Source organism: Homo sapiens, chromosome 4, assembly GCF_000001405.40.
Source record: "Homo sapiens chromosome 4, GRCh38.p14 Primary Assembly".
NCBI lineage: Eukaryota > Metazoa > Chordata > Mammalia > Primates > Hominidae > Homo > Homo sapiens.
In genome coordinates this window covers 163,845,558-163,860,667 of record NC_000004.12, presented here as the reverse complement: position 1 = coordinate 163,860,667, position 15,110 = coordinate 163,845,558, and the positions used below count along the sequence as shown (strand labels likewise).

Genomic DNA, 15,110 nt, shown 5'->3' with positions numbered 1-15,110 from the left:
GTAAGTTACAGTAGAGGAGAAGTATTCTGTAACTTTATGATTCAATCAAAGTCTTTTAGTGAGCCTGTATTTCTCGGCTGTGGCCTTCACAAGTTTTTCTTAGCTTCCCTCCCCACCATAGGCAGGGCAGAAAGAGTAGAAAAGCCTGGAGTGGAAGAAATGCCCTTTATTCTGATGGGTTAGTAAACCTCTGCAAGATATTTTCCCTTGGAGAATAAGTCTTTTTTGTAAGACTGTTTGGGGGTATTTCACGGTGTTTGCTTATCCTCTTCCCCTGCTAGTACCACCATAGTATCTTTCTCAGATATTCTCATGAAATATAGATAAGTTGCTTAGCAGTAAAACCCAGGAAAGTGTAGAGTCCCCACTAATAATGCAGCCCCTGGAAGTCCTCACTTTCAATCTAATCCCTACTGTGTCTCCAATAATATATCGAAGATACAGCTTAAGAATTTCTACCCCGTTAGGGCTCCATCAACTTCTCTCCATGTATTCTGAAATCGACCATAATTCTCTATATTTTCCTCTCTCCATATTTTTGGGGTAGTGGTTTGTTCTGCAACTTCAATTCTCTAATGGGTCCAAGAAAAATTATTTTCAGGTTTTATGCAGCTTTCTCATTTTATAAGAATGGGAGTGATGACTTCCAAACTCTTTACATGTCATAGCTTAAACTGGAAGTCTCTACATTTCATTTTTATGTCTACAAGATTGGCCCAAGCTGTGTGCTGAGTTCCACACTAACACAGTCAATTCCATAAGGAAGATTTTCAGTCATCACTTAAGAACACCAACTGCCCCATCTCTGGGTGTAACTATTTATGTGGGAGTTTCATTCTCTCTTTGGGGTCACTTACATCTCTTAGTATAATGAGGATTGGAAGAGTCACTATTGTTATAGTTTCTCCAAAGTTACCTACCTAGAAGCCTCTCCTTCCTGTTCCTGAGGATCTCCAGGACAGTGGCTCATATTGCTACCAGTACTCTCTTTTCAAAAAGCTTTTCTCGCCCGGGCACAGTGGCTTATGCCTATAATCCCAGCACTTTGGGAGGCCGAAGCAGGTGGATCACCTGAGGTTAGGAGTTCAAGACCAGCCTGGCCAACATGGCGAGATCCTGTCTCTACTAAAAATCCAAAAAATTACCCGGGTGTGGTGGCAGGCACCTGTAATCCCAGAAACTTGGGAGGCTGAGGCAGGAGAATCGCTTGAACCTGGGAGGCAGAGGTTGCAGTGAGCCAAGATCACGCCATTGCACTCAACCTGGGGAACGAGAACTCCATTTCAAAAAAAAAAAAAAAAAGCTTTTCTCTCTGCACTGCCTCAATAGAGGAGAGAATGAGAGCCCTACTTCCTTGTATTGTGCCGTTTCTTCATTCACCATCATGCCACCTTACAAGGTGAGGGTAGCTTATCTGAATTCATAGAAAGGTTAGTGGTTTTAAAAGTAATTGCAAGGTAGAGGCAAAATTTTTTAAAAGAAATCTGTACACTAAATATATATTTCAGATAGTCTAAGCTAAAAGCACCAAGAATTTAAGCCTTCATTACAAGTCATGATTATTCAGAAAAGAACTCCTCTTTACCTTCTTATTCATTGTATCATCAACAATTACTTATTGGATTCTATTTCAGTTGCTCTTCCACATCCTAGAATACAACTATGAACATCTCTCTCCATTTGAGACACCTAACATCCTACTTGCAGAAATTAAAAAGACCCCCAGGACACATCTGCAGTACACAGCAATAAATTTATCATATACAGTAATCTGTTCTTGCAGAATTCAACCCAAGCAAGAAGTCCTTAGCGGTCATTGGAACCCCAAGTCTTTAGGAACAATTCATGTGTAAGGACTGTGTGTGAGCACGTGAAAACATCCACTCAGAGGTCCACAGCAGCAGCAAATGTGAGTGATAGGCATGAATGTTAGAGTTTTCTCAATATATAGTGAGTAACTCTTAGAACACACACAGGCTCACACATTTTCACTTCTCTAATTGCAAGTTGTTCCTTTCATAATGGAAACTGAACTTTATTATTATTTAGGTGATGGGCTAATAGTTGAGACATGTTTCTTAATGACACATTAGCTAAATAAATACATAAAATCTCTAAAATTTTCCGTTTAGCAGCCCTTCACATTCTTAGACAAGACCATTCTCAAGTCTCAAATTTGAGAATAGGGAAGGTGGGCACTTTCTCAGTTCTATGCATGTGGTAAAGAGAGGGAGCATTCAGCTTAATCATAACTGCACAACTAGATAAGATATGGAATGGGCAAATTTGAGGAAGGAAATAGTTGAGGAGACAGAGAGATAAATAGAGGTAGGCAACTGCATTTTCCTGTGGCAAACAAATCTCTGCGTTTAAGATTAAATTACATTAGCCTTGGGGTAAAATAAAGTGAGTAGAATAAGCTTCACTTGGAGAAATCAGCCCAGCAGGGCTGCCAGGTTGCACAGTTCTAGGCGTACCATGCTCATGGTGTTTAATATGAAAAGCATTCCTTAGAGTACAGTGCCATTTACATGGATTGCAATGTGGATGATGCCCCCCCCCCCCCACCCCCCGGAGTTGTGCAACACAGCTTGTAGTGACAGAAGCCTTTAGAGTACTAACAATTTTAACTTTCATGTAAATTACTTGTAATTGTTACTTTCTTTGGAAAGTCTTCCAAAATCAGCCATCCCCTGCATCTGATGCTAAGTTAAATGTCTTTTCTCAACATTTTCATAGTGCTCAGTATACTGCTATCATAGCTCCTATCACACTGTCTTACAAAAACTGGGTTACTTCTCTGTTTCCCCTCCTAATTGTAAGCTCTGGGTCTTTTCTCTCTCTGTACCAAAGGTTGCAAGCACGGTGTCTGGAACAAAGAAAATGTTCAGTAGATGTTTTCTGAATTAAAAGTAAATTATTCTCCACAAAATACACCCAATTTCTTGGCATTTTTTCCTAATATTAATTTGTTGTCAATGTAGTTCGCAGAGAATGCACTATGCTGCTATTTACTAAATTAAATATCTGCTTGAAGTAGCATATTAAAAATTAAGCTTAGTTAAATCTCAATTTCCTGTGATCATTATATAAGTTGCTCATTGCTGTATCTCATATTAGCTTGGTTCAATGACTAGATAGCAATTAACATGAGTGCTTAATGACCACTTTCCTATTTTGGTATATTACTAATGATACTTACATTTTAAAGTGCTTTGGGGTTAATTATAAATGCTTATAATTTGCCTACCCTTCTGGCTGACAGCACATTCTTACACCTAAAAATATGATGAGTACTCCAGACCTGTGTAGGAAGAAGGCTGGTCTACAGAGGCTCAGCAATCAACATTTCAATTCTTCAGTTCTCTCAACTCATCTCAACTATTTTTAGAATCTATATTGTAGCATCGATAATGCAAAAAAGAAAATATTTTTGAAATGTGATCCAAACTTTAAGTGTTTTGTGATAACAGAAAAGAACATATTGTTATTGGGCAATTATAACTCTCCCTTACCAACAGGGATTTAAGGCAACGGTCTTTCCTTGTTTTTTTTTTTTTCTCTCTCTCCCTTCTGATTTGCACCTATACTCATGCTGCTTCTTTTGAGACTATTTATTTATTTATTTATTTATTTATTTATTTATTTATTTTTCGAGACAAAGTCCTGTTCTATTGTCCAGGCTGGAGTGCAGTGGCGCCATCAGCTCACTACAACCTCCACCTCCCAGGTTCAAGCAATTCTCCTGCCCCAGCCTCCTAAGTACTAGCTGAGACTACAGGCACATGCCACCACGCCCGGCTAATTTTTTGTATTTTTAGTAGAGACAGGATTTCACCATGTTGGCCAGGCTGATCTTGAACCCCTGAGCTCAAGTGATCCTCCCACCTCGGCCTCCCAAAGTGCTGGGATTACAGGCATGAGCCATGGTGCCCAGCCCCTTTGGAGGCTATTTAAAAATTGACTTCTCCAGGAGATGATGCTGTGATTCTAACATACCTGACAACTCAGAAGATGCATATTATTTAGAGGAAGTCATTAAACAAACTTTATCTCTTGGATATGAAATGAATGTCCAGATGTAGAAATGCAACTATCACAGGCATTTTTATTGTTTTCATAGATTCTACATTAATATAATAAAAAGCTGAAGTGAAGCTGTGTAGTTAGATTGCTCTCTCTCATTTCACACGCTTAACTGTCTTTATAAACATTCCAATAAGTTCAAACTAAATTATAAACTTTGCAGTCCCTAGCAATGTATCTCGTTTCTTGTCTGCTTTCTTAAAATAGCCTGTACAATGTCCATGGATAGTATTCAATGATTATTATTAACATATTATTTATATTAAAAGTATGTATTTTAACTTTCTGAATTATTTAGCCTAGCTAATAATCCTAAAATAAGATAATGACAGTTATATGCAATAGAAAACTAGAATGCAGTTGGCATTTTGTTATAATACTTCAGCAGGTGTAGCCAAAAGTTTATAGCTTTTTTCATGATGATTTGTTGACAGCTGTCCAGCAAAACAGTTCGAAAAGATGATTTGCACAGGCCAGCTTCAAGGAAGACATGATTAGGGGGAGCAGGCAGTCACCTTAGAGTTGTGCAAGTAAGCGTACAGATCTAAAAATTAGAGATCAGAAAGATCCCAGTGGTTCATGGACTTTAAAATTCTCTAGAATAGATCGATGCACTGAACCCAAATCACATCAAAAATGAAAGTTATCCTCTTCTTATGACTACTATTCCTGCTTCAGTACCTAAAATATATTTGTGGATTAATGTTGACTGAGTATAAGAAATGACAAAGCTACTGCCACCACAGCATCAAAAAGAATCTAAATGGGAAATAAGAAGTTGGCTACCTTTACAAACACATCTCAGAATGGATACTGATGGTGTCATAATTTTGTGGGCCACACAATTATGTTCTTCATTCATGAATGAATTTAGCATTTTATTATAAGTACTAAAGTGATATTTAATTATAGAGTTAAAATTGACAAAATGGTAAATAATTTAGAAGTAGAACATTTGTTTATACTTGATTAAACTGTTTTGGTCATTATGTATCATTTCACTCCTTGCCTTTGAATAAAGATCCTCATTTTCATTTACTCTTAGCACACTTCAAGAAATGCAATTAAAATCTGATGATTAACCAAGATAGTGTTACTGGGAATGAGGAAATATTTACTTTCTGTAGAGTGCAAATTAAATATGCAGATTTTGTATTGAATAGATCACAATTTTACATAAATCTCAAGCAATGTGTTTGAAAGGCCAAGCACTAATAATTTGTTGCCCATTCAAACAATTGTTTTCAAGTTCCCTTTATCATTTCTCTGTACCTCAATTGAATGAGTCACTCATATTAGATTGCTGGTTTTATTAAGAAATCCATTCTGTTGAGTATCTTAGACATTTTTAATAAAAGATCTTTTTTATCACTTTCGTATTTACATTGTTCAGATGCATTTAACTTGAGTATTTTGTCATTTAGATTAATAACTCAGAAATCTGTTAGTGCAACCGTTCTTATGTTACTTTTCTTAGTGCTATGAAATGTGCAGTTTTGAATCTCTGAAATGTTATAAATGACCAGATTGCTAATTGCTTTGGATGCTGTGAAAAATAATTACTCCACATTATTTTTGATATTTAATTGACAGTGTAATGCATTTAACTAAAGACCTGCAATAAACTATTTCTAATTACTGAGGGTGGTGGAGTGGAAAAGTAGGCTGTAAAACTTTACAGGGGAAACAATGTTTCTCCATTATGTTAAAAGTCATTGTTGATATGACTTTTTCAGAGACAAAACATTCCCCCAAATAAGAAGTTCTAGAAGTCTAGAAAGAGTTGTGGAATATTTCTACTCATGACATAGTAAGGATTGTTTTAAATTATTACTTTTGAATAGATTGTACTGGTGATAGATGTCATATACTTAATTTATTATACTTGCAGTAAATTTTTTTTCAGATGGCAGAACTTTATAAGAGAGAAAATCATGGCACTGCCAGAATGAGTAATATTTGTCACTGGCCTGTATTCGATTTATTCGGCTTCTGTAGGACATTTAGCTGAAAAGCTATGCCAAATTTTAGATGTCATTGAAATATGTAGATATTATCAGGAACCAGGTCTATTCTTATTTCTTGAAGTAAGGACTTACTGTTATAAGCTGATCTCTGAAAATAACACTTAGAACCTGGCACAAGGAATTCTCATTGTCTACTAGTGTCACAAAGAGAGATATAAAAGATGTTAGGCCCTTTGAAAAGATGTATACTCTTTCTATTGTCCTGTGACTCTAGGATATTAGTAATAATCAGCATATTCTTCTTTTCCTCCTTGTAACCCCTGGTTTTTTTAAAAAAGTCTCAATTAGTGTTTTGTTATATTGTTGATTTAATTTTGATTATATGTATTTTCCAAAACACAGCTAAAATAAGTGACCTGTTTCAGGGAATGTAAATTATTTTCAGAATTTCAGAAATTGAAAAGGGATAAGAGGAAGGAGAAAATGCTGGGCTGGTGTGAAGCGATAGCCCGTAACCCTCACAGAATTCCAAACAACACGCGAACACCCGAGATCTCAGGGGATTTGGCTGACGCCTCACAAACCTCCACATTGGTGAGTGGAAAGTTACTTTACCTCAAATTGGCTTATATGTAAATAGAATGCTAAAGAAATGTGGAGAGGATGACCTTATAAGTAAATGTTATCGTTGTTTACAACAGTATTTGCATTTGTATTATATAATATATTCATATAGATTTGGTTAGTTAGTAAACTAATAAAAATACCTTAGTGACATATAATATTAGAGTTTAATTCCAATTAAACAACTGTTTCTCTTTTTGTTAGTTTGGACATCATCCATTTATTATGTTAGTGACCTTAAAAATATTTAAATTAAAGTTTATGTTCTTGGATTCTATACTGCGTAATGAAACCTTTGGAAGAAAAGTAAGTACAGAGTCATCTAAAGATGATTTAAAGAAAATCAGAATCCTACTTTCTGTATTTTTCTATATTTTTTCTAAAAATGTCTCAGTAATAGAATCAAAAATTATAATTTTCACAACAAATTGTGAATTACACAATTGCAAAAATATTTTGAAGACCAATTCAAGAATGTGCTCCTTCATGTTTTGTTTTCTGCGATAAGTTTAAATGCTGAGCTTTAACTAGCTATCATTTTCCAGGGATTAGGACAAAGCACTCATTAGCAAAAGGAATTTTAAATGTTCTTTGTTTCGATTTGGCTGTAACATTCTTCATTTTAATTTAAAGGAGGAAAATTCCATTCGGTTTCCAAGTTTTAAACTAATATTAGATATATTTTAATGATTGTTTTACCTTTTTACAAGAATGAAAGTGTTTTGATTAGCCTGATTTATTAGCAGTTGAACATATAAGTAAATATGAACAAAGAATCATTTAGGGTATTTTTTACTGTTCATTTTGTTTTATTTTACAATGTCTATTATTTGACTATCTTAGTATGTTTGGGCTGCTATTACAAAATACCATAAACTGGTAACTTATAAAAAACAAAAATTTATTTCTCACAGTTCTAAAGTCTGGAGTCCAAGATTAAGGTGCTGGCTGTTTTGGTGTCTGGTGAGGGCCTGCTTTTCTGATTCATAGATGGTGCCTTCTCACTGTGTCCCTACATGTTGGAAGGGGCAAACAAGCTCCCTCAGGCTTCTTCTATAATGGCACTAATACCATTTATGAGGGCCCCACTCTCATGACCTAATCACCTCCCAAAGGCTCCACCTCCTAATACCATCACCTTGGGGGTTAGGATTTTGACATGAATTTTGGGAGGATACAAATATTCAGACCTTAGCAGTTACATAGAAATAGCGACCTTGAATTAACCTTAGTGAGTTGATATTAAGAGAAATCATCTGAAAGAATAGGCTTTCACTTGATAAAACATAGAAAGAGAAGTGAGGATCTTGCTTAAATCCCACCCTTAGATTGTAAGGGGAGGGCTGAAGGTATGGAGAGATATGTGCAAAACTACTGGGTATTCAAAGTTTTAGGGAATGGTTTCCTTTTGAAATTGTCATCTGCATTATCTCGTCTCACTCTAAAATGACTTATGTGTTACACTTGGATAGCACAAAACTGTGGGGCATGAGTTAACACTACTAAAACATTGTATTACATAATATTTATGCGTACAGCTGCACTTTGTCAGGTATCATACTATAACCAAGCATTTTTAAGTAAGAAAAAATTACTGCTTCTGTGCTTTAGTGCTTAACTCCTATCTCATGGAATCGCAGATCAAAAACCATAAAAACTGTGAGCAAATTTTTGGACTGGCTTTCTGCCTATAATTGGGTAACCTAATAATAAACCTAATGACATCTTCATTTTACAGCTTGCACCATGGCCCAGGAAAATTAATTGACATTCCTAGTGCCACTTATCTAGTAAATAATAAAAGGGTTACTAGGAATGGGACTTCTCAAAACAATGCTTTTTCTACTACACCTCATAATCTCAATTTCTTGATGACATTTTCTTCACATTTAAATAATTTTAATATAAAGAAAAAGATATCAAGTTACCAATGGAATTAAATCCAGTAATTAAATCTAATGCTGTATTACAGGGATAACCTCTATACACTTTAACATAAAACCCCCAAATCTCAGTTTCTTAACATATAAAATAAGAGATTTCTTCCTTGTGTTATGGGCTGATGTGTGTTGGCCAGCTCTCCTTGGAGGTTCACTGCCAAATCATGATTTAAAAATCCAGACTCCTTCCATCTTTTGATGCTGCCTTTGTAAGCACATGGCCACAGGGGAAATGGAAGAGATTGTGTGGAACATCGAGCATGGGCCATTATGGAGCAACCTTGTATGCAAGGACGTCCTTCCATTTCAGGCCCAACTGAGTTGCAAGGGAGGCCTTTCTATGTGGCCAGGAAAAGGAGATGGAATTAGTGGGCATCTAGCCCATCTCTGCCACAGTCCATTTTACTGGTCACCAGATATTCATGTCATGTTCCATTATCTCCAGAAAAGAGATTATTACTCTTCACGAGTGACAACTCAAATTCTTTCAGTCACTAATTTCAGCACAAATCCGTGATCTCTGGTTAGCCATTGTCCTCATCAAACGATGAAAATGAATCACCCATGAACAAATTACCTGCATTTTGCAATCCACTTCCCACACACCCAATATAAAAGAGAAGCATAGGAAAAGGGAATCCACAATAAACCATGATTCTTGGATAGAGAAAGAATCAGGTACACATGTCAATCACAGGCACAATCCTGCTGGAAAGACATTATAAAGTCTCCCAATCTAGAGGTCAGAGAGGATCTTTGAATAAGCTCTGACCACCTCTCTGGGATATCTTCCTTGTCCATAGTTCCCTCTAGCCTCTGGAAATGACTTCTCAGATGTTTCTCTTTTTCCGTTATTCTACTTAACCATGTTTGAAGTGCCTATTGAGAACTATATTACCTTAATTTTTTTTTCCTGTTTGGGGAAGATAATGGGACCTAGAGTTATTTTAAGTTTTAAACATTTAAGTGTTATATTCCGGAATCATGGGGTTTTAGTACAATTCCCTGAGATCTTAGCAGGGTTTGCCTTGAGTCTGTTACACAAATGGAACTTTTCACTGGACCTTTGTTGTTCAATGCCTTCATCAATGTCATGTTCCACCATTTGGGCTTTAGAAGAAGCCAGCCATTTTGCTCAATAAGTCCTGGAAACTTCTGTATTCTGTTTCTCTACGTATCTGCCTTCACACTAGCCGCTCAATGTTTCTCTTGTAATACCCTGCCAAACGTAGCCAGTAATAGTCAACACACACTATTAAAGTTTTGTTTTCCAATCTCTTTTGAGTATTGCCAGCCCAGCAGACTCAGTGCCTCTCTAGTTAATTCAAACAGCAGTTTTGCCAAGAGTTTTGACAAAACATTATGCAACTAGAAGGCTTTCTACCTTTGAAATCAGTTTCCTTTCTGCCCATTGCCCAGCTATTAAAGAAATGCTGTATATTTTAGATTTTTGCTATGGTAGCATAGGCTTTGGCTTCAAATTTCTGTATTTCAGTAGCATAAAAATTGGAGTACAGTCAGGAAAACAGAAAGAAAACCAGCAGTTTTAACAAACAGAATATAATATGCAAAAGTATTTAATCTGGTATTGGAAAGCTAAAATGTCAAAAAGGTTCACAACTTTAATGTCTGAAGAAGTAAAAACCACTCATACAGAAGAGTAACAGAGGGAGGAGGCTGGAATTGTTAGAACCTGAAAGGCTAGAGGACAAGCCCCTCAAAACTGTGCCTCGGGCCTCTGAGGAGGAGTACATCTCCCCAGATACAGATACCTCAGGGGTTCAGAGGTGGGATCCTGTGGATCTAGGACCCAGACCCCTGAAGGGGGTGCACTTCTCTATTTTTATACATCTGGGGTGGTGGTGGTGCAATAAAGATAGTTCAGCAAGTGTGAAATAAGCTTAGAAACTGGACCCAACGTCCACTGCTGATCTAAAGAAGCATTCCTGGAATGACACTGACAGAAACAGGATAAACAAGAATGAGTCCTTTCTCCTCCCGACCTCTAGTTGCCTTCAGGACTACCATTGGCAGAACCCAACCAAAAAGTTAGTGGCAAAGAAGAAATCTGGTTTGAAGGCTCCCAGCTTTAGGATCTTGAGGTAGAATATAGAAAAATGGGTTTAGGGCCGAGAGGTAATAACTTAGTAATCAGTATAGAAAGTTAAGGATAGGAGCCTTAATAAATAAACTCAGACATTTCAGACTTAACATGATAAAGGTTTGCTTTTGCTCACCAGTCACTCTGATACAGATAATTTGACACTCCAACCAAAAACAAAAAAAATGCAGAGTTCTCCTGCTGCTATTATATTATAAATATGGCTTTTGAATTTATCAGAGAAGAGAAAGAATGGGAGTGGGTAATCATGGAGATATATGGTTTAGGTTTGGAAGTGATATGCATCACTTCTACCCTGATACCTTTGGCTGGAAACCAGTGACATAGACTAATGGATCTGTAGGAATGATGAAACATACAATCTTCTTATATAACCTGAATAGGGAAATTGAAAGCGTTTAGCCAGCCTCTATCACAAATGCATTCCTTCTTTGGTAAGTAGCCTGCTTATCCTACATTTCCATTGTATATACCCATGCTTTTATTATTACTATTTTGCTGTCACCCATATCAGTTGAGGCTTTCCAGTACAAATTATACCCATCTAAAGATGATGATAATAATGATGGTGGCTGATTATTATGTTCCAAGAACTTTTCTAAGTGTTTTACAAATATTCTCATTTTTAATACTTACTACAATCCAGTTTGGCAAGTGTGATAATTACCCCCATTTCATAAATAAAGAATCTGAGGTATAGAGAAATTTAAAAACCTGTCCAAGGTGACTTAGGTAATAACTTGTGAAACTGGGATTCCAACAGTCCAATCAGTCTCAATCTAGAGGGCCACTCTATCACGTCTTTCTCAGGTTAAGGGGAAGAACACAGTCATTATTTGGATTGTACATATTTGACTAAACACAAAGATTATAAATGAGATAATAATTCATTGCACTGTGGCATAAAGACAAATAGGATCTTTCCTTTATAATCCAAGATTATACATATCTACTGAATTATTTTCTGCTCTGCATTGACTGACTTATAGCCAGTCTCACCGCCGTTTTATGTATAGAATTCTCCATAACTGACCTGATTGAAAAGAGTAGTTATTTTTTCCTTTTTTAATCTGTAGAGCAATTTATACTACCTGTGTTTTAAATTCGGAATATATTTATTGAGCTGAAAATCTTTCATAATGAATAATAACCTTGAGGGGTTTGGAAGATTATGCTTATTAAGCACATATCCTCACAATTGTAACCTAAGGGCGGGAAGTGGCCTCCTCTTGTATGACAGCCAGGGGAGAAACCTCTCTTTTAAATTTAGTGTAACACAATTTTACTCATTAAAAACAAAAACATCTTATACCGACTATACCCTTAAGGAATTTACTGAATCAAATAAGAGTTTCAATATTAAATTTAAAATGAGAGCAAAGGAGATCATAAGAATCCGAAGTAAGAAGGTGAAAGATTTTATGAGGATTAGAGTTGAAAAATCCATGGAAGTCAAAACAAGAAGATTAAAAAAATGTCATTTTAGATGATCAGCAATGACTCTAGAGAAAATTACACTCCTATAATCAATTATGATTTTTTGAGGCTCCAAATAGACTGGAGTTACAAAGAAAAAAAGAACAAAGTGTCACTCTATGTGTTTGATAGAGGTGACTTGCCACTTTCAAACATATGTTCATCAGCTCAGAGCACACTTTCTTGCCTGTGTATTATATTCCAGGATGAGATGCTTGTTGCTCTAGAAAAAAATTAAAGAGGAGAAACTAGATAAGAAACTCTCAAGGAGAAGTATGTAATACTCATACATGAAATTAAAATGAAAAATGATTTGTAATCAGACATATACAACTTTTCAAAGCAGTCTTTATGTCCATCATTTCATTACAGCTACAACCCATTTTACTCAGATGCACACAATGCAGATTTCATTATTCAAACAGATAATAAAATAGGACTGTTAAGAGTTTAGGCATTACACTCCAAATCATAAGAATTTAGGTCTTCTAATTTTTAGGTTATTTATACACAACACGCATTATAAGAAGTTGATACTGTTGTTTGCACAACACTAGTGGAAAGACTAACTCAGCCGGGTGCAGTGGCTCATGCCTGTAATCCCAGCATTTTGGGAGGCTGAGGCAGGAGGATCGCTTGACGCCTGGAGTTCGAGACTAGCCTGGCCAACATGGTGAAATCCTGTCTCTAATAAAATACAAAAAGTTAGCCAGGCCTGGTGGCAGCCACCTGTAATCCCAGCTACTTGGGAGACTGAGGCAGGTGAATCGCTTGAACCCAGGAGGCGGAGGTTGCAGTAAGCCAAGATCTCACCACTGCACTCCAGCCTGGGTGACAGAGTGGGACTCCATCTCAAAAAAAAAAAAAAAAAAAAAAAAAAAAAAAAAAAAAAAAAAAAAAAAAGCAAACTGTAATTCGAAAAGATCAAATGAAAAAAAAAGGTAGTAGCAGGTAAGAAGGGAGCATTGGTGAGCTTGGGTTCTGTCAGATTTTAAATGCCAAGATTTTTCTAATTTAACATAAACAATCTCTAGAAATAAAACAAATTTACTGATAATACATGTTTTGCAAGTCAAATTTTCAGCTACTGAACCAAATACCTTCTTACACAGCCTAAGTATTAATAAAACAAGCAGCTAAAAATAATCATTTAATTTTGTCATAATCTTTTGTTTTCAAAGTAGAGTAGATGTATTAAAAGTTAAAGTTTCAAACTTACAAAACGAAAGATCAAGAATGAAAATTATATACTTTTCTTTTGACTTTTAGAAGTATGTAAATGAATTTTATGTTTTAATTGAGGAATCTTATCATTATCACCTTATTTGTTCTAGTTCTTGTTACTCATAGGCCATTCAATTATCCTTTGTTTGAAGCTAAACCAGCCCACTTGGGTATTTCAATAGTACGGATGAAAGCAGCCCCTGGACTTGAGATTTTTTTTCTTCTAGAATCCCATTCTTTGTTATTTCATAAACACTGCCATTCTCTGGATATCATACAGAAAACAATCTGGCTTTCACTCAGTCCATTGTGCTCTGCTCAAGCTGTTTATGCATTCCACAAATTTTATTAAGTTTTTATTATATTCCTTGAGCAGAGCAAATGAACTGAGCAAAAGTAAGATTGTGTTTTTCTTATAAAGCTCTATTAAGCACAATATCTTGTATATTAAACCTTTTCTGCTTGTTAGAAATGCCATATGCCTTAAAATATGGAAGAACTAATCTTAAAGATCAAACAAGTCTGAGATGGTTTCTGTGATCAAAATACATTGTAAAAGTTTCAGAAACTAAAATGATTACAAAATTACTTCTGTTATACTAATATTCTGCCTTCAGTAAGAATCTAGAATATTGCAGATAGTTTCCCCAATGCATATGACAATGAAATGTAAATTTGTCCTTACAAAGAAACCAAATTTACCAGTTAATATTTACCAGTGACATCCTCCTCACTCTCTTCCGAGTTATTCCCATCTTCTACTTTTAGTCTATTACAAGGTTAAAGGAAATCATACATCCACCTACAGCAAATGGACCAGAATTGCCCCGCAAACATAGCCTCTGTTGGAACCCAAATAAATGGTAAACAGAAAGAGGAGGTTGAGTATATTAAATTTCTCAGTAAACCTATTGCATTATTTCTAACAGACTCACCCTTATTTCTTTTAGTCTCTGAGCAAGTGGGCCAGTTTATTATACAGTGGCCTTAATGCATTCTGAAAATAAATCAAGTCAGAGCAGATAGAGTTTTCAGTTGCGGTTCCTCATTTTTCTCCCTCCTTTTAATTCTTTCTTATTCAATCATGTATCAGTTATTGTTTCCAATTGCTATTACAAAGCCTTTACTAAGTACTGCCAAAGGTAATGGTGAATGAAATCTAAATTTTTATTAGAATAACCATCACAAACAAATGAGAGAAATTAAGCAAAAGACGTGATGCTTTTAAAGAACTTTGATTTTTGTAAGAAAGTAAAATCATTAAAAATATGTCCCAATGGTTGTTATGGAAACAGATTGAATTGAAGAATGCGAAGGGGAGACTGATGCTTTAAACTTCACACCATGAGGAAAAAATTACATTAGCTGTGCAGCTTAAAGTATCGTATTAACTTTAATTGTATAGTTACTGAACAATGTCAAAACATGGTTATTCACAATAGTAATAATTGATCTAAAAATGCTCCTTACATGAATAAATCGTTTCCTCTACGGAGTAAAGTCATGAGATCATGTTCACAGCTGCTCTTTATCAAAATGTGTCATGTCTGTGTGCTTAACTTAGATATAAATGAAGTTGTGAGTTCCTCCGAAAGATGTTTAATTCTTATGGGTTGTTTAATTCTGCTATGTGTGTATAGTGTTTAGAACACTTTAGTTTTTTAAGATCTT

At 35.7% G+C, this 15,110-nt stretch overlaps 1 protein-coding gene across 6 annotated transcripts in view; it reads left to right on the top strand.

Moving 5' to 3' along the window:
• Window positions 1-15,110, top strand: part of MARCHF1 (membrane associated ring-CH-type finger 1) — an 859,722-nt gene that overhangs the window by 523,352 nt on the left and 321,260 nt on the right. For 3 of the 6 annotated variants that reach the window (NM_001166373.2, XM_017008334.2, NM_001394959.1), the window contains one exon: window positions 6,499-6,647. The exons of the other annotated variants lie outside the window; for them this stretch is intronic. In NM_001166373.2, coding sequence (NP_001159845.1) covers window positions 6,537-6,647 — 111 coding nt within the window. In that variant the 5' untranslated portion in view covers window positions 6,499-6,536. The remainder of the gene's footprint in view (window positions 1-6,498; window positions 6,648-15,110) is intronic. 6 annotated transcript variants of the gene reach the window in all.